Source organism: Homo sapiens, chromosome 4 (assembly GCF_000001405.40).
Source record: "Homo sapiens chromosome 4, GRCh38.p14 Primary Assembly".
In the NCBI taxonomy this organism is placed as follows: domain Eukaryota; kingdom Metazoa; phylum Chordata; class Mammalia; order Primates; family Hominidae; genus Homo; species Homo sapiens.
In genome coordinates this window covers 11,914,655-11,942,465 of record NC_000004.12, presented here as the reverse complement: position 1 = coordinate 11,942,465, position 27,811 = coordinate 11,914,655, and the positions used below count along the sequence as shown (strand labels likewise).

The 27,811-nt window shown below is 38.2% G+C and overlaps 1 long non-coding RNA gene across 1 annotated transcript; it reads right to left on the bottom strand.

Annotated features, from left to right (window-relative positions):
* Positions 1 to 705: 705 nt before the first annotated feature.
* On the bottom strand, positions 706 to 27,811 carry LOC107986179 (uncharacterized). Its single transcript, XR_001741367.1, has 3 exons — positions 27,712 to 27,811; positions 19,385 to 20,233; positions 706 to 877 (listed from the first exon to the last, which is right to left on the bottom strand). It is a non-coding gene; the product is annotated as an uncharacterized LOC107986179 (long non-coding RNA).

Sequence of the window (27,811 nt, the reverse complement as noted above, 5' to 3'; positions counted from 1 at the left end):
AAAAATCCAACCATGCCAAATTTTGGTGAAGATGTGATTCAAATGAAATGCTCATTAAATTGCTGGTAGGAATATAAAGTGGCACAACTACCTTTGCAAACAGTCGCCATTTAACTAAAAGCTAAAAATATACCTGCCATAGGACACAGATATTGCAATCCTAGGTATTTCAAAACTGAAGGTATTTTTTTCAAACAAAGCCTTCTGCATAAATACTTGTAGTGGCTTTATTTTTATTTTCGATAGTCAAAAACTGGAAGCAATGCAGTCTATCAACATGTAAGTGAGTAAACAAATTGTATTTCCATATAATGGAATACTACTCTTCAATAAAAAGAATACATTATTGATATACATAATTATATTTTGGATCTCTCAAAATAATTATATTAAGTATGTCGACTGAAGAGTCACAAGGTTAAAAAATTTGCAAAGGAGAACTTTGTTTTTTCTAAAGGGTTGTACCCTGCAAAGTGGCCATTCGGACAGGCTAGGGAGGCACAGTCTCTGACAGAATCTGGAAACAAGCACTTCGAGTGAGGGAAGAGTAAGACCGGAATTTATGGTGAATAGGGTGGCTGAATATACATATTTAATAATCTATAAGCGGAGTCATAATTATAAAAGGAGAAATGTGCACATGTGCAATTGAGCTTTGTGCCTCTTCATGAGTCAAATGATTTAAAAATGGCAGCGTGAGCATGATCTAAGAGCAGAGTTTTCAACCCACTGACATCAAAAGGTGATGCCAAGGATGCAAAAATCCTCTCTGTGCGTCCTCTCCAAACTAGTCTGGTGATCATGGTCAGTTTTTAGGAAGAGATGCACAGTAAATCTGGTGAGCTGTCACATCTGCTGCTGGCTTCAGATGATTGGCCTAAGGAGACAAAGGAATGTGCTTTACATTTTTTGTTTTTTACAGCTGGTTTCTGTTTACTCCTTAGGAAAGCACTTGGGTTAAAGATTAATAAAGAGGAGTTATACTGAGGTGTATCCAACCTCCCATTCTGTCATGGCCAGGAACTCAGTTTTTAAAGTTTCTCTGGGTTCCCCTTGGCCAAGATGGAGATTAGGATTCGTTCAGTTGATTGGGAGGTTTAAGATTTTATTTTTATTTCTCAAGTGAAAAAAGCCACACCAAAAGAGTACGTATTTTGGGATTTTGTTTATGTAAAATTCCATAAAATGCAAACTAATCTAAACTGACAGAAGCAGGTTACTGATTGCCTGGGGAAGAGGATTAGCAGTGGGGAAGGGGATGTGCAGAGATGTGACAATATGCAGAAGAAAACTTTTGGCTGTGATGGATTTGTCCATTATCTACATGTAATAGTGGTTTTATAGGTGTATACATGTACCAAAACTTATCAAATAATTGTTTACATATTTTTACTTTATTGTATGACAATGTTATTTCAATAAAGACATTATAAATGTAAAAACAACAACAAAAAATATATAGTCTTCAGCAAAATTTAAAACTTCCTTTACAAATCCCAATTTTAAAAATGAAAAGTCAAGTCACACAATTGGAGAACACATTATTAAATTTATCTGAAAAAGAACTTACATTAGAATATGTAAATAACTCATGCAACTCAGTAGGAAAAAATCAAGCAAGCCAGCTTTTAAAATGGGCAAAAGACTTGAATAGTCAGTTCACTAAAGAAGAATATGAGAATATGGTAAGCACATAGCAGAATATTTAACATCATTATTCACTGAGGAAATACAAATTTAAATCACAATGGGATATCATGAAAACCTGCTAGAATGGCTAGAATATAAAAGACTTAGAATACCACGTGTTTGTTTGGGCTGTGGAACATTGTTAACAATCAACATATTTTACTGATGAAAATCTAAAATGGTACATCCACTTTGGAAAACAGTATAACAGTGTCTTATAAAACTAAACATAGGTATACCATAAAACCTAAAAATTGGACATATACACGTTATGTAAGAAAAATGAAAATAGATAGCCATACAAAAACATGTACATGAATGCTGATAGCCCTTTATTCACAAAGGGCTCTGTATTAGTCCCTTCTCACACTACTATAAAGATAGACCTGAGACTGGGTAATTTGTGAAGAAAAGAGCTTTAATTGGCTCACAGTTCTACAGAATGTACAGGATTCTGCTTCTTGGGGGGCCTCAGGAAACTTACAATCATGGCAGAAGGCAAAGGAGAAGTAAGCATATCTTCACATGCCCAGCCGGAAAGAGCGAGAAAGGGAAGGTGCCACACACTTTACAAGAATTAGATCTCAGAAGAACTCTATCAGGAGGCACCAGTAGGGGGATGGTACTAAACCATTAGAAACGGCCTCCATGATATAATCACCTCACACCAGGCCCCTCCTTCAGCACTGGGATTACAATTTGACATGAGATTTAGGTGAGGACACAGAGTCAAACTATATCAGCCTCCAACTGGAGATAAAACAAATCTTTAATAGTAGAATGTGACAGATGGACAGGAGGCAAAAAGCAAAGAGCAAACAGTTGGCACAATAAGAATCATTGGAAAATCTACGCAACTACTTGCCAGCTGAAAGAAACCAGACACTAAATAATGTATATTATTCCATTGATATTAAATTGTAGAACAGATAAAAACAATCTCTAGTCACAGAAAGCAGATCAATGGTTGTGTGAGGCCTGCTTTGGGGAGGGGATTGACTGCAAATAGGCAAAAAGAAACATTTTTGGGTGACAGAAATGTTTTCTATCTGATTGTACTGGAGGTTTCATGTATGTATATGTTTGTAAACACTCATAGACTCATGTACTTCTAATGGGTACATTATGTTTTACACACATTTCCCTTCATTAAATTTATTGAAAACAACAATAGCAACATTGTATTAGCAGCATTTCCCTTCATTAAATTTATTGAATATAACAATAGCAGCATTGTGTTAGTTTTGCCAGGGCTGCAATGGAATCTTAAACAACGTAAATTAATTTATTACAATTCTGAAGGCTAGAAACCCAAGATCAAGGTTTTGGCAAATTTGGTTTCTCTCGAGGTCATTCTCTTGGACTTGAGGAAAGCTGTCATCCTGCTGTGTCTTCACAGGGCCTTTACTCTGCATGCATGCATCTCTAATATCTCTCCCTTTTCTTATAAGGACATCAGGCCTTTTGGATTAGTGTACCACCTTAATAATCACCACCTGAAAGACCTTATCTTCAAATATAGTTACATTCTGTGATACTGGGGGTTGGGACTTCAACATTTACCTTTGTGGGAAACACAATTTATGCCATTACATTTCACCCTCTAGACCTCTATATTTCTGTTCCTCTCACAAGCATAATACATTCAACCTCATCCCAACAGTCCAAGAGTCTTAACCCATTGCAATAATCTTAAGTCCAAAATCTCTATTAATATTACCTAAAGTGTGGATGAGATGCTATTCATACTGAGGCAAAGTTTCCATCTGTAAACCTATGAAATCAGTCTAGTTGTCTGTTTCCAAAAGACAACGGTTGGACTGGCATAGGAGAAGCATTTCCATTTATAAAGGGAAAAGTCATAAAGGGAATCATGATTTTCAAGCCAGTCCAAAACCCATCAGGGCAGATCCATTCGATTTTAATGCTTGAGAGTAATGATTTTTGGCTTAGTAGCTCTGTCCTCTGGGTGCATCAGGAAGGCAGCCTCACCTTCCAGGTTCACAGGTGTGGCATTGTTGCCCCCTTCACCCTGTGTGACAGTCCTGTCCCTATAACCCTGGGTAGAAACTCTATCCCAAGGTGTCAGCAGCCTGGCCTGCAGAAACTGAGATGGGCCCACCCTCTGATTCAGGCAAAGACAGCTCCACCTTTGGGATCATTCATTAATTGGCAAATAATTGTGTATATTTGCAGTGCATAATGTGATGTTTTGGTCTATGTATATGTTATAGAAAGATTTGATAAAGCTAATTAACATATATATTACATCACCGATTTATTATTTTTTAGTGATAACTCTAGAAATCTATTTTTCCACAATTTTGAAATATACAGTGCATTATTATTAACTGTGACCATCATGCAGTGCAATAGATCACAAAAAACATATTCCTGTAGTCTAACTGAAACTTGTTTCCCATTGATCAACATCTCCATTGCCCCTCTTTGGTCTCTGGTAATTTCTGTTTCTGAGACTGATATTTTTTAGATTCCACATACAAGTAAGACTGTACAGTATTATGTGCTATTTCTTGGATAGGTCTCTAAAAGCACAAGCCAAAAAAGCAAAAATAAACAAATGGGATTGCAGAAAGTTAAAAAGCTTCTGCACTAAAAGAAAACAACAGAATGAAGACACAACCCACAAATTGGCAGACCATCCCTTGATATGAGGCTAATATCCAAAATATGTGAGAAACTCAGGAAACTTAATAGCAAAAAAATAAATAATGCAATTTAAGAGTTGGCAAAGGATCTGAGTAGAAACTTCTCAAAAGAAGATATATGACCAACATCTCCCAAACTCCACTCCCCAACCACCCTAGCCTCTGATAATCACCATTCTACAGTGTGTATATACTTCAAAATATCATGTTGTATATTATTAACATATATAATTTTTTCTGTTGATTAAAAAATAAGAGATATGAATAGATATGGTATTTAAAACAATGCTCAACATTTTAAATTATCAGGGAAATGTAAATTAAAACCATAGTAAGATATCACTTCACACCTGTTAGAATGACTATTATCAAAAAGAGGAGTGATAACAAGTGTGGGTGAGGATGTGGAGAAAAGAAAACCCTGGACACTGTTTGTAGAAATGTAAATTAGTGCAGCCATTTTGGAAAAGAGTATGGAGATTTTTTAAAAAAAACAAAACAAGTAGAATTTTCATATGATCTTCCATTTCCTTAAAGAATAACTTTATTTATTTATTTATTTATTTATTTATTTTTTGCAGCTGAGTACCTCTATTGTCTTATCCTATAGAATCCCAGAACTCCTATATCCTTACTTTATTTTTACCATCTGTTTTCCCATTAGCCCAGGCCAGCAGTGTTTCTTCTGGTAAAGCTATCTTCATTTATAGCCTTGACTTCTGCTGAAATGGCTAATTAGACCTGTGAGTGACACCGGTCATTGTTTCATGGAGCAATTGTCCAGCCACACCCTTGGTATTCTCTCCCAAACATACTTGTTCATTTTTAAAAGTATGGGATGAGAGAGTTTTCCAAATGTCCAAATTTTGGTTCTTTTCTTCTTAATGATTTACTTTCAATTTATCTCACTCCTCCTGCATTTTACTATAAGCAGCAAAGAGAAACCAAGTCATGCCTTCAGCATTTTGCTTAGAAATCTCCTCACCTAAATATCCAAGTTTGTCACTGATGTGGTTTGATTGTGGTTCCAAATCTCATGTTGAAATATAATCCTTAATGTCAGAAGTGGGGTCTGCTGAAGGGTATTTGAGTCATGGGGCTCAATCACCCTTATTACCATGGTCCTGCCCATGGTAATAAGTGAGTTCTCACTGTTAGTTCATGCAAGATCTGGTTGTTCAAAAAAGCCTGATATTTCCCCCACCCTTGCTCCCTCTCTCACCATGTGACATGCTTGCTCCCTCTTGTCTTCCACCATGATTGGAAGCTTTTTGAGACCTCACCAGGAGCATATGCTGGAGCCATGTTTCCTGCACAGCCTGCAGAACCATGACCGATAATAAACCTCTTTTCTTTACAAATTACCCAGGCTTAGGTTCCTTTATAGAAATGCAAATGGGCAAACAGTCATAATGTCTACTGTCTACAATACACTAGAATACAATTTGGCCAAGTTGTTTGTCACCTTATAACAAGAATCACTTTGTGTCTAGCTTTTGATACATTTTCTTCATTTCCATCTGAGATTTCAATAGAATCGCCTTTGACGTTCATATTCCTTTTCACAATTTCTTCCAGACAATCTAGATGTTTTTCTAGCATACATCTTAAAACTCTTTCACCTTCTTCCCATTAAAAAGTTACAAAGCCCCTTTCATATTTTTAGGTATTTGTTATAGCAGTATCCCACTTCTCAATACAAAAATCTGTATTAGTCATGGTTCTTTAGAGAAACAGAAACAAAAGAGTGAATAAACATATATACACATAGATTTGAAGGAATTGGCTCACATGACTATAATGGTCCAAACTTCAATAGAGTCTACTGTATTGTAGGCACATTTCTCTTAGTTAAGTTGATTCAAATGTAACAATAGCACTTACTATGCAGGATTTTTTGACAAATAAATGATTGTTTTTTATGATGTGAGTACAGTTTTGACACATAATGAATGCACATTTAATGATAGTTTATTTTATCTACCTACTGGGTTTTGTAAGTAAACATGGCTCCTTTGACTGGTTGTCTTTTTAATTTATATTCTTACCAAATGAATTTATATTCTCAGTGGAAAGTCTGTCTGTTTACTCAGAGCTCATGAGATTAATCAACTCAAATTATGAGTCACAAAATCTCATGGATTCTTAGCATATTTACACAGCAGATGATAATTTTGTATTCTTGAATACATTAAATCAAGTCAAAGGTCTGACATGGTGAGCACTGGGATTTCTAAAAGACTTTGTTTTTCTTTTCAGAAAACTGATTGGTGCAAATATATCTCAAATCTAACAGCTAAAGCCAGATGTACTTAGGAAAGAGCTCACAATCTCTGGGCAGATTGAACAGCAGTCCCTGCACCCAAAGAATAATATAAGTTTTGTGTCCAGTAAATTGTTGTTGAATATATTCTTGAAGAGCCACTTTTTATTTCATTTTTGTAAAGCAACACAGCACCATCTTCTTTATAATTATTTCCACTTTAATTCCATCTGTTTAAATTGAAATAAACTACTATGTCATAAAAAGATTCCTCTTTTCAAAGAGTTTATAATTGCAGTAGAACAAAGATAAACCATGCTTATTTTCAGAATATAGTTGAACTTTAGAGGATGTTACATGGTTAAGTGACAAAATCAGTGCTAGGAAAGAAAATCCAAAGATGTTCAGTAAACAGAAATATCCTAGTGGAGTACAGCAGTCAGAATGTTTTCAAAGTACAAGGTCATGATTGCAACCCCAAAACCATGAGGAGGTAATCAACTCAATTACCTTAAAGCAGAGATGTCCTGCATACAAGACAACTTTTGAATAAAATATGCCTCTCCAGCCAGAATACATCTTCCGTCTAGCTGTATTTTCAGAAAAACTGTAATTCATTTCCTAATATTATGCCACTTTGAGACATAATAATATTTGGGATTGCAAGATGTTTTATTTAGAATAGCTATATATTGCTTCGTTGGCCTATAAAAACAAGGTTATATATATTACATTACATGTCGATATTGGTGGGGGATAATTCTGCTCCATTCACTTAGGAACCAAGCTGATATATGTTCCATTACCTTGCAGTTTCATCAACTGGAATGCAAGAACATCTAGGTCTCCACAACAGAGGAAGAAATAGCCATATGATTAAGCAGACAGCTCTTATACACTTTTAACAAAAAAATTATATTCTCACTACTGTTTACAGTCCACTGATAACATGTAGTCACATGATCCTAACTGTGAAGAGGTTAGAAAATATGGGTAAGTATATAGAATGTGTCTTTCTGATTATATCTCTGCCCAAGATTGCTCTCCTGATCAAACAGTCCTTTGCTCCCTTCTTCTAACATGTAGAACATAGTCATGGCTTTCCCAAGGTAGGCAATTCAGGTTCCAAGATTGAGCCAGGAAGCTCATTATGCTCAAAGTCTGGAATCTCCAGATACTGCACAATACTCACTGTAAGTCCATACTTCTTTCACTCGGTCTAGACAGCTATGAACAAGAAGCCTAATTGTCACTTACAGACATCTAATAAAGAACAGAGAAAGAATAATATGTTGGTTATGGTTCTCCAGAGAAATAGAACCAATAAGAGATCAGATAGATGATAGATAGATAGATAGATAGATAGATAGATAGATAGATAGATAGATAGATGATAGATAGATAGATAGATAGATAGATAGATAGATAGATAGATACATAGATAGACGGATAGGTACTCGTCTATTTCCAATTGGTTTCAGTCTTAATAACTCATTGTAAGTTGAAAATATCATAAATCAAAATGCATTTAATACACCTAATCTACTAAACATTATTCAGGTTAACCTTTTCTAAACATTCTCAGAACACTTACATTAGCCTTCAGTGGGGCAAAATCATCTAACACAAAGTTTAACATATAATAAAATATTTAATGCTTCATGTAATCTATTGACTATTATACTAAAAGTGAAGAACAGAATTATTGTATGAGTGCTCAAGTATAGTTTCTATTGAATGGGTATTGCTTTCATATCTTCATGAAGTTGAAAAATTATAAGTTGAACCATCATAAGTCAGGTTCATATGTGTGTGTGTGTGTGTGTGTGTGTGTGAGAGAGAGAGAGAGAGAAAGAGAGAGAAGGAGAGAGAGGAATTGGCCCACATGATTACTGAGGCAGAGAAGTTATATGATCTGCCACCTACCAACTGAGGAACCCAGAAAGCTGGTGGGGATTACCTCAGGTGGTAGATGGCAGGTATGAGCCTGACTGCCCAAGAACAAGGATCACCAATGTCTGAGAGCAAGAGAAAATGAGTATCAGAGGTCAAACAGGAAACCAGTTTTCCCCTCCTCCACCTATTTGTTCTATTTAGGACCTCAGTGAATTTTACGATGGCCACCCTCACTGGTGAGGGCAATCTTCTTAATCAATGTATTGATTTAAATGCTAATCTCTTCCAGAAATAGCATCACAGTAACAACCAGAAATGTTTTGTCAGCTATCTGGGTATCCCTTAGCCCAGGCAAGTTGACACATAAATTAACCATCATGGGTAACTATGGTAAATACTCCCATTTAGAAAGATAAAAATGAGAGAACAGCTTCTCACTGGTCCTTAGCAATTCTTACATACCACTGGTCAGACACTGCATGCTCCCTTTACCTAGGTATGAACTTATTGCTTAATTATATTATGATTATACCCTTTAGAAAGATCTTTACCTATGGGACTCCATGCTCCTTAACTCCATCTTATTGGTGTGTCTTTGCATCCCACTATCCTTCTTTACTACATTCTAAGAGAGTGTAAGGGAATATATCCTCCTTGAACTGTACTAATTTTTTACTGTTTACTTCCCACTCAAAGAATTGTTGACTCTTAAGAATTTTTTGAAAATAATTTTTAGGGTAGGGTGGATGAGTTTTAACAGTTCAAGTTTCTTTAAAAAATCAGTGGGATTATTATGTGTTTGATTGATTCCAGTAAGTTCCATGTTCCAGTAACCATTACTGGATTTCTCTGTTGAAGAAAAAATTTCTTGCTGTGCTATATTTCAGTGATTTATCTGTCACCAGTGTGTTCTCTCTCTCCTTCTCCTCCTCCTACTCCCTCCCACCCCCTAACCAACTGATGCCATGGTTTCCGTAAGAAAACTATATTCTTTTTTTTTTTTATTATTATACTTTAAGTTTTAGGATACATGTGCACAACATGCAGGTTAGTTACATATGTAAACATGTGCCATGTTGGTGTGCTGAACCCAGAAACTCGTCATTTAACATTAGGTATATCTCCAAATGCTATCCCTCACCCTTCCCCCGACCCCACAACAATGATAGACTGGATTAAGAAAATGTGGCACATATACACCATGGAATACTATGCAGCCATAAAAAATGATGAGTTCATGTCCTTTGTAGGGACGTGGATAAAGCTGGAAACCATCATTCTCAGCAAACTATCGCAAGGAGAAAAAACCAAATACCGCATTTTCTCACACATAGGTGGGAATTGGACAATGAGAACACATGGACACAGGAAGAAAACTATATTCTTAATATGACTATTGCACTGAATAGTTTTTATTTAATATAAAAATTTAGTGGGTCAGTATATTCTTAATCTAAATTTTTGGCATGATGCGCTTAACCAGTTAAGAGATTTTGGGTTTTATTGTGACACCTTTACTCTAAGATTTGTGTCTAAGATGACTCACTTTTATTTTACTTTACATTTTAACTTAATGTATAATGCACATAGAGTACGATTTAGCCAGTGTAGTTTACAGTTCTGAGTTGTGTCAAGCACATGTGGGAATGTAATCACCACCAAAATCAAGATATGGAACAGTTCAATCACACACATACACACACACACATACACACACACACACACCCAATGCTTATTCCTCCCTTCTTGTTAAACCCTCCCAATGTAGAGCTGCTGTCAATAACTGATCTAGTCTCTGTTACGATGGTTTTACCATTTTCACAATGTCATATAACACAAACCATATACTATCTAGCATTTTGAAGCCTGCTTCTTTAATCTAGCACAGTGAATTTGATATTTATTTTTAGTTGTATGTATATCAGTAATTCGCTTTCATTTATTTCACTGCATGTGTATACCACAGTTTTTTAATCCATTGTCAAGAAGCGAGACATTGAATTTGTCGAGCTTTTGATGATTGTGAATAAATCTTCTATAAACATTCATGTTCAAGTTTTTATATAAATTTAAGTTTTTACTTTGTTTAAATTCCATTTGGGAGTGTAATTACTGGGTTACGTGAAAAGTGTATGTTTAACATCAGAAGAAACTGCCAAACTAGCTTCCAAAGGAGTTCCATTTTGCGTTTGCATCAGCGATGTGTGAGAGTTCTAATTGATCTTTATCATTGCCATCACCAGGTACTGTCAGGTTTCTATTTCTTTTTGTTCTGTTTTGCCATTCTAATACATTCTAGTGGTATCTCAGTGTGGTTTTAGTTGGCACTTCCCTTATGACTAAGGGAAATATGTTGGACATATTTTCATGTACTTTTTTGCCTTCCATATGCCTCCCTTGCTGAGGTATCTGTTTACATCATTTACCCATTTATTACTTGGTGATTTGTTTTCTTTTTATGGCATGTTGCATGCTGAGTTATTTGGCATTCCTCCTTCCTCTATTTGGTTCAAGACAGAACAGTAGAGTAACATGCTTTTACTCTGTTATCTTTTAACTGGAAATTGTGCTTCTGTGTTATGTAAATGGCATCAAGACTGCAAGCTTTCACAATCTCCATTGTTTCCTTCTACCTGAGGGATAGAACACACAGATTTTAGCTGGGAACATGGTAACCCACAAAAATAGACTAGATTTCTCAGCCTTTTTTCAGATAGATTTGACTCTGTGACTAAGTTTTTGCCAATGAGATGTATGTGGTTGTGGCAAAAACATCTTTTGCAAGTAGCATAAAAGTTAGAAAACCTGTTCTTGGTCCTTTTCACCTTCATGTTGACTAAAATGTGGTCTTAGTGGCTGGTGCTCCAGCAGCCATGTTGGACTTGAAACAGCCTGAAAAGTGGTAGTAACTGATGGTGGGACCACAAGATAGAAGGAATGTGAGTCCTGACAATAGGAAGCCATCCTGTTAGCCTTAACTGCTTAACATGAGATGCACATTAGCTCATTTAAAGCAGTTTATTTTGGCTTCTTTAGCACTTGTAGCTGAGCCAATTCCAAGTCGATAAAGGACCACAGGATGGACGAGCTTCTATAATCCCCAGCACTTTGGGAAGCTGAGGCAGGAGGATCCCTTGAAACCAAGAGTTTGAGACCAGCCTGGTAAACATAGTGAGACACTGTCTCTGCAAAAAATAAAAATAATAATTAAAAAAATATATTATCCACACATAGTTGTGCCACCTGTAGTCCCAGCTACTCAGGAGGCTGGAGTAGGATTGCTTGAGCCCAGGAGTTCAAGACTGCAGTGAGCTATGATCACACCACTGCACTCCAGCCTGGGTGACAGAGTGAGACTCTGTCTCGGGAAAAAAAAAAAAAAATCAAACAAAAAAAAAAAAAAAAGACCTCAGACCATCCAGATTTCCAGATTTCACTTTTCAGGGAAATTAGAATCTCCTCACAGGTACATAAAACGTTATAGATCAGAAAAATACATAAGTAGTAGAATTATTCCAAAAGAAAATCATTATTCAAAGACTGGGATTTTGTTAGGCTATCCATCTTTGAGATGATAATGTCAGAACCTAGCTCTAAACACAAAGGATAAAGAATTCGTTGCAGGGTGGGGGTATGTAGAGAAGTGAAGGAATAGGGGAAAAACTTTTTGATTTTTTTTTTGCTTGCATAATTTAGTTACGTTTAGTTGCACTTGAATATTTAGCCATATTTATTTAGTTACATAATTAGTTATACTTGAATATTTGGCCATATTTGGCTAATATTAGGTTTCTGATACTCAATACTTATGCACATGTTTAAGTTTAGGGTGGGGGTTCACCTTTCTCAAGGAAGAGCTGCACAGTGCTCACTGCATTCGACTAGAATGTGGAAGCAGCCACTAAGTGCATAGAGACTCAGAGCTCCTATGATGCTTGTAATGTACTCTGTTCTACAGGTACTCACTCTTATTGTGGTCTCTATTACTTTTTTTAAATTTTACTTTATATTTGAATGTCTCCCTCAAGATTTTTTTTACACTCTAGATTGCCAGTGCTTGATGAGATCAGAGAAGGCTTGCAATAATATTTGCTCAATGAATAGAAAAATACATCACCCTCATCTGAGCATCTGGCTATGGCTCTACCTTTGGAGTTTTATAGGTATATGCTTAATATTTGTCCATTCATTCAATATGCCCTGGCCTCAGATGAGGTGGGACTCACCCCTATTCTTTGGCTGAGGGCCATTGGCAGACCTGTTGCTCAGCTTGTCTGTATTCTAGCCCCACTGGAAAGCAAAGGAGATTCTGACACATAGTGCCTGAGTACTAGGCAATGTGTGGCTGAAGGATGCATGTAAACATTCCAGCCACTGTGGACCTCACACACTGTCCCAGGATACAAAGAGATAGACATGCAACCACAATACTCTGTGACAGTAAGAAGAGCAAGTGGAGTGTGTTTTGATCATGGAGAGAGAAAAAAATTCAGAGTGTGCATGAGATCTGGGAAAGTGATGGTAAAAAGTTTACTCTTGGGTATGTCATTCAAAAGCAGATACTGGGAAGTCTTACATTCCAGGAATGTGGAATGACCTGATTAGAGGGGAATCAAACTGAAGCGTGAAATGGTTCCATTTACCTTTTCTTTTGTTATTTTGCTATGTCAGCTATACTTGCTCAGATGTTCAGAAAGACATTCAGATGACCATAGGCAAAAGCCTTCAGTTCTCCATTCTGGTTTCAGTTACAATTCTCTCCTTTCCTGTTTTGAGTCTGAGTTCTTAGGTAAGTCTCCTGTTAATACCCTGGACATATTTTCCAAGCACATAATTATTTTCACTCTAAAAAGATGTTGTGTTGAACTCACTCTCTGGCTGTGCTTTTGGTACCCTGGCTATATTACAGTTCCCTTACCACTTCAGCAAGAACACCTGCCTGATCTCCAAATTCAAACCCTTGCATTTTTTTTTCCAGAGTGTTTCTTTCGGCTTCTGGAACATATGGGAGGTTAACACTTCACACCTCATGGGGCAGCCCTCAACCATACTTGAATGTGAGTTAATCTATAAATATCACAGTTTCCTTGACCCTCAAATAGAATAGAGATGTGTGCTCTATACAAGCTTCCAGAGTTTACCAAATGGAATTGACCTGCAGTTAATTGTTGTATTAGTGTTGTCTAGAGGGGCAGAATTAATAAGATAGATGTATATATAAAGGGGACGTTATTAAGGAGTATTGACTCACATGATCACAAGATAAAGTCCCACAATAGGCCGTCTGCAAGCTGAGGAGCAAGGAAGCCAGTCCGAGTCCCCAAACCTCAAAAGTAGGGAAGCCAGCAGTGCAGCCGTCAGTCTGTGGTCGAAGATCCATGAGTCCCTGGCAAATCATTGGTTGGTGTAGGTCAAATAGTCCAAAAGCTGAAGAACTTGGAGTCCAATGTTTGAGGGCAGGAAGCATCCAGCATGGGAGAAAGATGTAGGCCTGAGGACTCAGCCAGTCTGGTCCTTCCAGGTTCCTGTGCCTGCTTTTATCCTAGCTGTGCTGGCAGCTGATTAGATGGTACCCCCTCAGATTGAGGGTGGGTCTGTCTCTCCCAGTCCACTGACTCAAATGTTAATATATATTGGCAACACCCTCACAGACACACCCAGGAACAATACTTTGTATCCTTCACTCCAACTATATTGACACTCAATATTAACCATTGCAGTTGTCAATGGCAAAGCTACTCTGACAGTGCACCCTGAAATGTTGCTTTCTCTTCCGTTTTTTGTTTTTTTTACTTTTACTATTATGTATGTTGTGAATAGAAATTTAGTGCAAAGAAACAATTCTCTCATTTCACTACATCCCTGTTCACTAATTAGGTGTTTTTATTTTCTCGTGCTGTTCCTCATGTGCATTCATAACTGTGTTTGTATTGATATTTATCTAATTTAATTTACGTCCTTTTTGTTATGTAATGTTCATTATTTGTGGTTGCATCATGTTCTTCTTGAATTGATGTTCCTTTTATTTCTTATATCTCCATTCACCTACCTGGGGTTACTTCAATTTCCACATCAATAACTTATACTTGAAACTTCATCTTAGTCTACGCTTATAGGGGAATGAAAAACTAGACACTCAGGTTAAACATTTATTCTTTCTCCAAACATGGTAGATACCAACTCATGATACGGGTCTCTTGGGTGTTACCTGAGTCTTCCCAGAGAAGATATTTCTACTTCTCTGCTTTGTATCTTAAAAACAAACAAATAAAAATGTGGATCTGGCTCATTCATGAAACTGTAACTAGTTCAAGGTAGAATTGTTATGTTGCTGCTAAGGATCTATCGCTTTGATCTTTTACAAATTAAATGAACTGACTTTTTATTTATCCGTGTCTCTAAATTGATTGAACAAATATATAACCAAATTAGCATGTGATGCCAAGAGAATCAGATCTAGGTATACACATTAAATTAGAATTCCTACCTCATTGGAAAGCATCAATTTTTCATTGGTTTTAGTTTCTTCTTGGAAATTTCTGTGTGAGTATTTTCTTCCAGGTGGCTGTGTATGATCTGCATTTTTTAAACAATCAATTCTCGTCTAAATGAAGTTGGTTTCAGTATATTTTTGAAGTCGCCTACCATTCAGTTTAATAAGAGTCAGAAAAGCCACGGTGGCTGTGTTAAAAATGCAAGATCACTTAACTCGTCAAAGCTATATAAATGTGAAAATGACCAAAGGGATAAGTGAAAATAATGGAGAAGCTCAGAAGCTGGTTTGCCTCTGAAACTGATGTAATAGTTCAAAGTGATTAAATTTATTAATTACCATTTACAAGCTCCATTTTATTTGAGCTACCTATTAATGTTGTAAATATCATATGAAATAAATACGCTGGGAATATCCCTGGAATTTTTCTTTAATGATAGATCGAAGACTTGCTTCTTGTGAATGGGAGAAGTAGACACCCATTAGAGCTATTCTTCGTGAAGAGCAAAACTCAGTTCTAGAGCTATACTAGGATGAATGGCAATAAAGGTGATGTAATACAATTTAGCACTTTCTATTTTGCTTTCATAAGTTTAGGAGGCGTGTTCCTTCTTGTGGGAAGAAGACCATGCACCAACAGAATGCATTTGTGAGGAAACAAATGCTTCTGTGATTGGTTTTCTTGCCTTTCAATTTTTCAGAGATGTCTCCTAATGTCTCCACTCAGCCTTTTTTCCCAAGGCTAGACACCCGTATTTCCTTCACTTATTATATTTGTGAACAGTATTTCAGACCATCAAAATCTGGTCACTTCTTTATGTACTCTTGTCTACCTCTCAGAAGGAAACACTGATTTCTGGTATTGTCTGACGGCAGACTCTGATGGCAGGAAAGCTTTGCATTTGCAACATCTGGATCCCTCCACCCAGCATTAAGAGAAATTGTAGCTCCTGTCAGGGAGGGATAATGAGGCACAGGAGAGATGCCTGGGAAGAAAGATTTCAATAGGTAAATAGAAATTTGATTCTCATAAAATGAATATATTGCCCCACAGAGGCAGACTAGTAAGATGGTCCCCAAGATTCCTGGTTTTTGGTGTATATTCACTTTCTCCCAGTTATTCAATCAGGTACTAACACAGGTGCTGCTGCAAAGAAATTTTGCAGATGTCATTAAGGTCCCAGATTCTCCCTCAAGAGAAGGCAGTTATCCTTGGTGAACTTAACCTAATCAGGCGAGCCCTTCGAAGATATATTAGAATCTTCCTGGAAAGATATTTGAAATGTGAGAAGAATTGGACAAAAAGGAGATTCTCCATTGCTGGCTGTGATGATGGTGGGGTCTGTATGGTAGGAAAAGATGGGTGGCCCCTAGGAACTGATGGTGACTTTCAACCAAAAGTTAGCAAGAAGACACGGACCTCAGTCGTACAGCTGCAAGGAACTGTATTCTTCCAATGACAGAATGAGCTGGTAAACAAGCTCTTCCCCAGGACCTCCAGATAGAATGTGGCCCATATAACACCTTGAGTGCCTACTCCTGAGCAGAGAACACAGTTGAGATCTGCCTAGACCTCTGACCCGTAGAACTGTAAGATAATAAATGGTGTGGATTTAAGCTGCTACATTTGTGATAATCTACTATGAAGCAATAGAAAATAAGTATACCTCCACAAACTCTGACAGAGAGTCACTCTCTTTCCTGGGCCAGCAAAGCACGTGTCACTTGTTATTAGTGAGGTAGTTTGCCTGTGTGCTAGTTGCCCTCAATTAATCTTGAGAGCTCCTGCTCATACAAAATACACAGTAGCATATTAAGAGCCAGGATCTGGCATCAGACACATTGAGTTTGAGTCCTGATTCTGCCATCTTCTATCTGTGTGACCTTAACCCTCTGGCTCTCAGTATTATTATTTTTAAGTGGATAAAATAGCAGTACTCATAACCAAAAACTTATTTTCATGATATACACATAATGCTTAGCATGTACCTTTGCCCATCTTAGGTAACTAATAAAATATAAATAATGCACAACTTAATAGAATCCAAATTTTAAATCAGTGAGCATTTAGTGAACACTTTATTTCAGCCACACTGTAAAAATAAAAAAAACTGATAGGATGGAAGAATGTCAAACCCTTACTTGAAAAGCTCTTTTAATGAAATAGGATAAGCTGACACATCTGCAAATATATCACCAACTAATGTGGCCTGTAAAATAGTAATCATGAGATACAGGTAGCTCTAAGGAAGGAATGATGCAATCCTGGCATAAATGGTGGTAAGGAAGGGAAAGAAACAGCTTTCTTAGACATGTTGACATTTAACTTGGGGTTTTTTTTTTTTTTTTTTTTTTTTTAGTACTTTAAGTTCTGGGACACATGTGCAGAATGTGCAGGTTTGTTACATAGGTATACACGTGCCGTGGTGATTTGCTGCACCCATCAACCCATCATCGACATTAGGTATTTATTCTAATGCTATCCCTCCCCTATTCTCCCACCCCCAGACAGGACCCAGTGTGTGATGTTCCCCTCCCTGTGTCCATGTGTTATCATTGTTCAACTCCCACTTATGAGTGAGAATATGTGGTGTTTGGTTTTCTGTTCTTGTGTTAGTTTGCTGAGAATGGTGGTCCAACTTCATCCATGTCCCTGCAAAGGACATGATGCATCCTTTTTTATGGCTGCATAGTATTCTATGGTGTATATGTGCCATATTTTCTGTATCCAGTCTATCATTGATGGGCATTTGGGTTGGTTCCAAGTCTTTGCTATTGTGAACAGTGCTACAGTAAACATATGTTTGCATGTGTCTTTATAGCAGAATGATTTATACAGGCAACCTACAGAATGAGAGAAAATTTTTGCAATCTATCCATCTGATGAAGGGCTAATATCCAGAATCTACAAAGAATTTAAACAAATTTACAAGAAAAAAAATAACCCCGTCAAAAAGTGAGCAAAGTATATGAACAGACACTTCTCAAAAGAAAACATTTATGCGGCCAACAAACATAGGGAAAAAAACTCATCATCACTGGTCATTAGAGAAATGCAAATCAAAACCACAATGAGATACCATCTCACACCAGTTAGAATGGTGATAATTAAAAAGTCAGGAAACAACATGTGCTGGAGAGGATGTAGAGAAATAGGAACGCTTTTACACTGTTGGTGGGAGTGTAAATTAGTTCAACCATTGTGGAAGACAGTGTGGCGATTCCTCAGGGATCTAGAACCAGAAATACCATTTGACCCTGCACTCCCATTACTGGGTATATACCCAAAGCCTTATAACTTGGGTTTTAAAGAAAGGATACATATTAGCCAAATAGTCAAAGACTAGAAAACATTCTAAGCAGACCAAGTCGATTGTACAATTTTTTTGAGATAATATTGTAGAAAATATTAGGCCTTATTCAGGTTGTAGTGGCAAAAATAATACTTAACCACATTAAGGTCACAGGATGATTTATTGAATTATTTTAAGGCATATCTGAAGGAGAATCTCACTTTAGGCATGGTGAAATCCAGGGGCTCATGCAATGTTGTGAGGGACTTCCCCACTCTCCCCCTACTTCCATACCTACCTCCCCTCTCTTCCTTGGTTCTTATTTTTCCCCACTCCCTCTCCACTCTTCCTCAGCTTTTCTCTTGGTGTTTTAACTTTGTTCTCAGGCAGAATCACTTCAGCTGGTGGAAATTAGGGTTTATAATTCTATGCCTACATCCTAATGGTTGACGAGCTAGGAAAAAGACAGATTCTCTGTTTCTCAACAACCATGTACCAGTTTTCACAAACAACCTCCACTGGCCTTCATCTGCCCACCTCAAATTGTACCGTGTGGCCTACTCATGTCCCACACTTATCTTGGTGGATGGCAGGCAAGGTATTGCAATTGACAATCTCCAGGAAAGCACATAAAATGGGCGATGAATGGATCAACTACCCAAAGGAAAACTAGGTGAATTAGGAAAACTTACCAGAAGAAAGGGGAATCAATTTTGGCCAAGTGGAAACAAATAGAAAATGTAAAAGATTTTGTATCATTGGAGCCTAAAGTGGGAGGAGTTGAGGTGGAAGGCAATAAACTAGAAATGGGTCAAATTGTGATGTATCTTACACCATCCTAAAAAGTTTCAACTTCATTCTGCAGGTGATTCGGCATCTAAGGACTCTAATTAGTATAAATAATTGGTTGAATTTTTAGTTTCAAACTATGATACTGATTTCCTGGTGGAGAATGAACATGGCTGATATTTGCCAGGGTTTTTGGAAGCCACACAATACCAGCGGCTCTCTCTCAATCCAAACTAAGGTAACAGCACCCAGCAATGGAAGTCCAAAGACAAGCCCTGTAGGAACTACTCACCATTTCACTGGCCTTTCCACTTAACATTCATCATCTTTAAATGCACGGCTGTAGGCAGCCACATCTTCTAACGCAAAGGTCAACATGAAATAGCACTCTCAAGTAGCACATCAAAACAGCCTTTTGCGACGTGGCATAATTGCTTGCTTAAGTTCTTGTATATTACATGATCTTTCTTTCAGAAGTCCAGCGTTGCTGCCAATTCTCCTTTTTTATAATTCCTTTTCTAAAACTGTGCTACCTTCCAATAGCTAAAGATTTCTTTTGTGCAGGAGAGCCTCCAGACTGTTATTATTTTAGTATTTTAATTTCATTGTCTTTGCATAATTGTATACCTTGAAAAATTCATTCAGGGTAAAAAAAAATGCTTCATGAGCTAGACTCTTATATTCATTTGTTCATTACTTCACTAATACAGTCAGTCACCAACTTATTCATCACACATCCGCTGTGTACAAGGCTTTATAAAATATGTGGTTTCCAAGATGGAAAAAACGAAGTCTCCAACTATTGAGAATTTAGAGCGTATTGGAAAAGTGGCAAGGTATTGTCCATGATTTTCTATAAGGGAAAAAGGAGCCAAGATCAAACCCTACCATAAAAAGGTGTAATATCTCAAAGCTATTGCAAGATTTTTTTTCTATAATGGGTGACTATTGTAGAATAGAAAAAAAAAATGCTTTTGCCTGAAACTTGTTGCCCAAGGCACACGTAGCTTCACAAAGTCTTACTTAAAATAGTTCAGTTCATTTTCTTACAACCTGTCACAGGTGGGATTCTTCAGGAAGTTGACTCACATGGAGATCTGCATGAGGAAAGGTTATTAGGGAGTCCCCTTGGAGTCAGCATCTGTGGAAGATACGGGAAAGATGCAGAATTGAAGAGAGAGAGGTCAAGGAAAGATTCAGTTTCAGTCTCAAGGGACACCTCACCCAGCTCTGTGGGGAGTTCTGCAGATGGGACCACCCTTCAGGGCTGTCCTGTGTTGGAGTAAGAAGGCCGGGTCTTTACACCCCTGTTTCAACCAGTCATTGAACACTGGCCACCCCAGAAAGGCTGTAGCCTGGAGCAAATAGCCCTCTTCAAGTGAGACAGTCCTTACGGGAGGCTGATAATTCAGGGTTATCTGCTGGAAGTTCTCCCGGTACCTGGTTTATGAAGTTCTTTATTTCTGAATCAGGATCTGTATACCCCATTATAACATCCACTGTATCAACATTGTCTGCAAGACTATGTAGATGTTACATGGAAATATTACCTTTTGTACAGTCTAAAATCAGTTTTCACCGAGCATTTACTTAGGCTAAGCACTAAGGTAAATGCATGGAGGAAAGGGTCCCTGAATCAAAAGCACCTGCACAGGATGCTTCTATGAGCATGATTTAATCTTTTATTATGCTTGGCTACTAAAAATTGCACAGGATGCTTCTATGAGCAGGATTTAATCTTTTATTATGCTTTGCTACTAAAATTAGGAATTGGTAGAATTAGAATTTTTAGCATGAGCTTTATCCTGATACACACTCCAACTCTCCCAATATGTCAACCATAACTTAATTTCAAATCCAATTCTTGAACCTCAACACTAAGCCAAAATACTACTAATACTAAATTTATTAAGCATTTGCCCTGTGCCATGTACTATTCTGAGCACTTTTACATGTAATAACTCATTTCAGCCTTACAGAGATTACCAGAGATTTCCTGGTGTGTATAATATGATCTTCAGCTTATAAATGAGGAAACCAAGGTACAAAGGAGTTTAAAGCACTCTTCCACAGCTGCATAGCCCGTAAGACAGTTGAAATTTGAAGCTTAAATACATTCTCTGCCATTGAAGACCTCATCATTATAGAATCTTGTCGTTGAAGGATTGTATTAATAGTTCTAATTATTCACCCGGTCTGCATCTTTGCCTTTTTTCAAGTGACCCTGCAGTTCCCTCCCATTCTCGGAGGTGGAAACCGCCCAATCCTTGACTCTGGATCCAGCCGTGTGATTAGCTTTGGCTAAAGAGTCTTTTAAAATGTATGCAATTGAATTTTTTTTTTTTTTTTTTTTTTTTTTTTTTTTTTTTTTTTTTGAGACCGAGTCTTGCTCTGTTGCCCAGGCTGGAGTGCAGTGGCGCGATCTCCGCTCACTGCAAGCTCCGCCTCCCGGGTTGACACCATTCTGCTGATTCAGCCTCCTAAGTAGCTGGGACTACAGGCACCCGCCACCACGACTGGCTAATTTTTTTGTATTTTTAGTAGAGGCGGGGTTTCGTCGTGTTTGCCACGATGGTCTCAATCTCCTGACCTCGTGATCCGCCCACCTTGGCCTCCCAAAGTGCTGGGATTACAGGCGTGAGCCACCGTGCCTGGCGAAGTAAAGTCTTAAAGTACTTGGCTGAGTGGGTTTGTTCTTCCTCATTTTTCTGCCATAGACATGACAACATGCCTGGGATTGCCTGCCAGGAACAGCAGAGCTCCTAGCATACCTGTAGCTGACCACAGGCACATGAGTGAGCCGGCACAGATTGGATGAACCCAGTCAAAAATTGAGAAGAAAATAAACATTTACTGATGCATGCCAATGAGGGCTTGATGATGTTATGGGACAGTTGCATGGAAATGCAAATAACAAATGCCAACAGAGTTACAAACAGACAATGTAGTTAGGTAGAAATGCAATGAGAAGCAGAAGCACAGGATACAATGGGACCTTATGAAGAGTAGTTAGAGGCTGAGGGACAGACGATTTAATCCAGACTTACTACTTAGTGAAGGAGTCTTGAAGTAACTCACATAAAGTCAGTCCTGGAGAAATAATTTCCAATATGGAAATATTGATTGTCAGGGAAGCATGTCTTATTTATATCCAGAAATATATATCATGACTGGACCATTCTATTTGCAACAGCCATGCTTATAAAAAGTTGCATGCAATTCCAAATTTAACGCATCTAATCTCACTTTTAAGGCAGTAGAAAGTTCACTAAGCAAATTCTAAGATTAAGGGGTTTCTTTTTTTTAAAGGGGAGAAAAATATAGAAAGTAAATAATTTCCAAATATATCTGTTACATGTTGACTTCAACTAGATACACCTATATAAAACATAAATATATGTGTCATTTCAAATTTTAAGCAGGACAAGTTACTTCTGCTGAATCCTAATTCACACATGGTTATATTTTGAGTTCCAGATTTACACATTTTCTGATAAAAATATTAATTATAAATATAACATGCAAAATATTATTCTACTTCTGCATGATTTTTCACCTTAAAAAATCTTTCTCCAAAATTGTTTCTCCTATGAAAAATTGTTTTCTCCAAAAATTGTTTTCCTGTGAAAAATGTCCAAATCCTCCCTTCAGGGTTTGAAAGCTTTCCAAAAGCTTGAATTCTTCTTGCCAGAAGGCAGACTTTCAAGAGAGAAACAAACACATAATAATGGGGGATGTCTGTGTAATCTTCTTTTTTTATTATTAAAAAAAATAAAAATCTCTTAGTAGTGGCTGAAAACTTTATCTTATTTTACCAGAACTGTATATGAGTCCTATTAAATTTTATTCTGTCATTAGTCAAGCCATGCTTTTTTCAACTTTCCAAAAATCCTTGAATAAATAATGGACTGACTGACCTTACTCTGTGAATTCACTCAATAAGCAAAGCACTTACCATGTGCTGTGGGTGCCGTTAGGTCCTGTGGATCAGAGGTCCCCAAGTGTCTTGGCACCAGGGATCTGTTTCATAGAAGACAATATTTCCATGGACTGGGGGCAGGGGATGGTTTCAGGATGATTCAAGCACATTACATTGCATCTATTTTGCACTTTATTTCTATTATTATTACATTGTAATATATAATGATAGAGTTATACAGCTCATCATAATATGGAATCAGTGGGAACCCTGAGCTTATTTTCCTGCAACCAGACAGTCCCATCTAGGGGTGATGGGAGACAGTCACAGATCATCAGGCATTAGATTCTCATAAGAAGCATGCAACCCAGATCCCTCACAGGCACAGTTCACAATAGGATTTTTGCTCCTATTGTGTCCAGAATTGGTGGGTTCTTGGTCTCACTGACTTCAAGAATGAAGCTGCAGACCCTCATGGTGAGTGTTACAGCTCTGAAGGTGGCGTGTCTGGAGTTTGTTCCTTCTGATGTTCTGATGTGTTTGGAGTTTCTTCCTTCTGGTGGGTTTGTGGTCTCGCTGGCTGAGGAGTGAAGCTGCAGACCTTCGCCGTGAGTGTTACAGCTCTTAAGGCAGTGCATCTGGAGTTGTTCGTTCCTCCTGGTGGGCTCGTGGTCTCGCTTGCTTCAGGAGTGAAGCTGCAGACCTTCGCGGTGAGTGTTACAGCTCATAAAAGCAGTGTGGACCCAAAGAGTGAGCAGTAGCAAGATTTATTGCAAAGAGCGAAAGAACAAAGCTTCCACAGTGTGGAACGGGACCCGAGCAGGTTGCCACTGCTGGCTGGGGCAGCCTGCTTTTATTCTTTTATCTGGCCCCACCCACATCCTGCTGATTGGTAGAGCCGAGTGGTCTGTTTTGACAGGGCACTGATTGGTGCGTTTACAATCCCTGAGCTAGACACAAAGGTTCTTCACGTCCCCACCAGATTAGCTGGATACAGAGTGTCAACACAAAGGTTCTCCAAGGCCCCACCAGAGTAGCTAGATACAGAGTGTCGATTGGTGCATTCACAAACCCTGAGCTAGACATAGGGTGCTGATTGGTGTATTTACAAACCTTGAGCTAGATACAGAGTGCCGATTGGTGTATTTACAATCCCTGAGCTAGACATATAGGTTCTCCAAGGCCCCACCAGAGTAGCCAGATACAGAGTGTCGATTGGTGCATTCACAAACCCTGAGCTAGACCCAGGGTGCTGATTGGTGTGTTTACAAACCTTGAGCTAGATACAGAGTGCCGATTGGTGTATTTACAATCCCTGGGCTAGACATAAAGGTTCTCCACATCCCCACCAGACTCAGGAGCCCAGCTGGCTTCACCCAGTGGATCCTGCACTGGGACTGGCAGGCAGCTCCACTATGAGTCTAGTGTCACTGCTGGCTGATCTAACAGGAGGCAGCGCTCAGGTGGTAATATGAGCAATGGAGAGTGGCTGTAAATACAGCCTTTACTTGTTCAACTGTGGCTCACTTCCTGATGTGCAGTCCAGATCCTAACAGGCCACGGACCAGTTGGGGACCCTTGCTGTGGATGCACATGGAAACAAAGTGGAAGCTCTGCCCTAAGAAGCTCATGATCAATTGAAAAGAGACATGTAATAAAATAATTAGAATAAAGTGACCAATAATATTCATATCTAAAAAGTGCTTTTAGAATAATGGAATGAGAAATGAGTAATTCTAAAATAAAGACCAGTAAAATAGCAGAGTTTTATTTTATTATCTGAGCATTCTTAAATTTTCTGTTTATTCCTCATCTATATCAGTAGTCAACAAATTTTTCTTTAAAAAGTCAGATAGTAAATATTTTAAGCTTTGTGCACCATAAGATTTCTGTGGGAACTACTCAATTCTTCCATTGTAGGGCAAAAGCAGCCATAGATAATACGTAAACAGATGAATGATGCTGTTTTCCAGTAAATCTTTACGTCTAAACTAGGCAGCAGTCTGGATTTGGCCGACGGGCTACAATGCACCTACCCCAGTTCTACACGAGCTTAAATTTTGGTGTCCTCAAGGCCGGGCATGATGGCTCATGCCTGTAATCCCAGCACTTTGGGAGGCCGAGGCAGATGGATCACTTGAGGTCAGGAGTTCGAGACCAGCCTGGGCAACATGGTGAAACCCTGTCTCTACTGAAAATACAAAAATTAGTTGGGTGTGGTGAGGAGCACCTGTAATCCCAGCTACTTGGGTGGCTGAGGCATGAAAATTGCTTGAAACCCAGAGGCAGAGGTTGCGCTGAGCCAAGATCGCGCCATTACACTCCAGCCTGGGTGACAGAGTGAGGCTCCATCTCAAAAACAAGTGAATAAAATAAAATAAATGAATTTTGGTTTCCTCAATTTGGGGATTCTTTTCTTCTCACTCTATATTTCCCACTTAGGTGGTGCCACCTACTTCCATGGTTTCAAATGCCATCCATTTTCCAAGATATTTCAAACCTATGCTTCAGACTTGATGCATCTTCTAACATCCAGACCCATTTATCTAGGTTCCTGTTGAACATTTTTTTCTGAGACTGTCTCACATTTCTGTCCAAATTAAGAAAGTTCATCTCACCATCTCCACTAAGCCTCTCATCCAGACCTTGCTCTGAATACCTTTCTCTCTTTCCAAAAGTAGCAAGTCTAGCCACCTTTTATTTATTAGTTCTCCAAACTCCTTCCATATTTTTATCTTTCTTCTTTTCTTTTTCCATTCACCTATTTCCTTAAGCCAGAAAACTGAAAACCAGACATAACACCTCCTTCTCCATTACTCTCCATATTAGGTTTTCAAATTCAGTTAATTATAGCCCTAAAAGAGCTCTCAACTGTAATCACCTCTCTATATCACCACTGCCACACCAAGTTACCATCACTTCTGGCATGGACCACCTTGATGCCTTTGTAAGGGGTTTCTCAGGATCCAGTCATCCACTCTTATGCTCTTCTACTACATGTTATATCCATTCTAGAATTTCTTTTTTATCGGGGGAGGGAGACAGGGTCTTGCTCTGTCATCCAGGTTGGAGTACAGTGGTGCAATCCTAGCTCACAACAGCTTCGACCTCCCAGGCTCAAGTGATCCTCTCACCTCAGCCTTCTGAGTAACTGGGATTATAAGCATAAGACACCATCCCCAGTTAATTTTTAAATGTCTTGTAGAGAAGGAGTCTTGCTACGTTGCCCAGACTGGTCTTGAACTGTTGGCCTCAAGTGATTCCCCTGCCTTGGCCTCCCAAATCACTGGGGTTACAGGTGTGACCCACTGTGTCCAGCCTCCAAAGTGCCTTTTTTAATAAGACTTCTCATTATGGTCATCCCCGCTTCAAACCTGTCAAAGGATTCCTTGGGCTCTATGGATAGGTCCACATCCTTATTACTCTTCCCACACTGTATCCTTATCTCATAACCGTGCTTATTAGTTTCCTATCACTGTTATAAAAATAACCAGAAATCTAGTGCCTTAACACAAATTTGTTAACTTACAGCTCTAGAACCCAGACGTCTGAAATGGTACTCAAAGCCAAAATCAAGATTGGAAGGGCTGTGTTCTTTCTGGAGGCTCTAGAGGAGAATTCATTACCATGCCTTTTTCGGTTTCTAGAGGCCCCATATTTCTTGCTATGTGGCATTTAGTCAGTAATCATGTCTTTCCGATATCTGCTTCCAGTGTCACATCTTCTCTGGCTCTGCCTCTTCTGCCTTGTATAAGGACTCTGTGATTCCATAGGGCCTGCTTGAATAGTCCAGGATAACCTCCTCATTCCAACATTGACCTTCACTTAATCACATGCACGGTGTTTCTTTGCCAAAAAGTTAGCATGGCCACAGATGCTGGAGATTAGAGCATAGGCATCTTTTGGGGGCTGCTCTTCTGCAAACCAATCTTCATCTCTCAATTTTCAGGCTCCTAACATGCTGGCCTTCACTATTGCATTGAAAGCAACTATCTTCTCCTCCTCCTGTAAGACCTTTATACATAATATGTCCTCTCTCTGAAATTCTCTTTCTTCAACTCCACCTTTGGCTAACTCCCAATGACCCTTAACATGTTAGTATACATATTCCTTCTCCAGAGAAACTTTGTTTTACCCTCTTAATCCCTTTGAAGTTAACCTTAGTTTATTCTCTTATATCCTCCTATACTTTTCTGTTTTAACATGTTTCACAGTTGAACTTAAATTCCAGCATAATTATTTGTTTGTGGTCTGGGCACTCCTTTAGATTGCAAGCTTACTAAGGGCAAGAGCACTATTCATATTTACCACATGTTATACGAAGCACCTAACACATTGTACCTGCCAAACCAAATATGAATGGAATTAGTCAATAGTTTAATAAAAAATATTAATTTGTTAAAACAATATTTCAAAAAGGGTAATGAAATATTACCCTTTGATCATAATTTTAAATGATGACTAATTTTAAAGACAGATTATCAGAGGATCAAGATATGTTTTAGGAGAGGGGAACATCTTTTGTAAAAGTTCGAGTAAAAGGACATTGTTCAGGGATTACAAATAATTTGAAAAGACTGGAAGATACATTCCCACAGTTGGTGGTGGTAAAAGTAGGACTAAGATGTAAATAGAGACCAGATCATAAACTGTCTGTAACATTTAAGATGCCATCAGTGGCAAATAATAGTTAACCTAACCTTAGGCACTTAAGGAATACAGGTTTCTAGTCAGTGTCCAAAGGTAAGCTGTCCTGGATCAGATTCAGTAGCTCAAAAGTATTAGAACACTGGGTTTGAA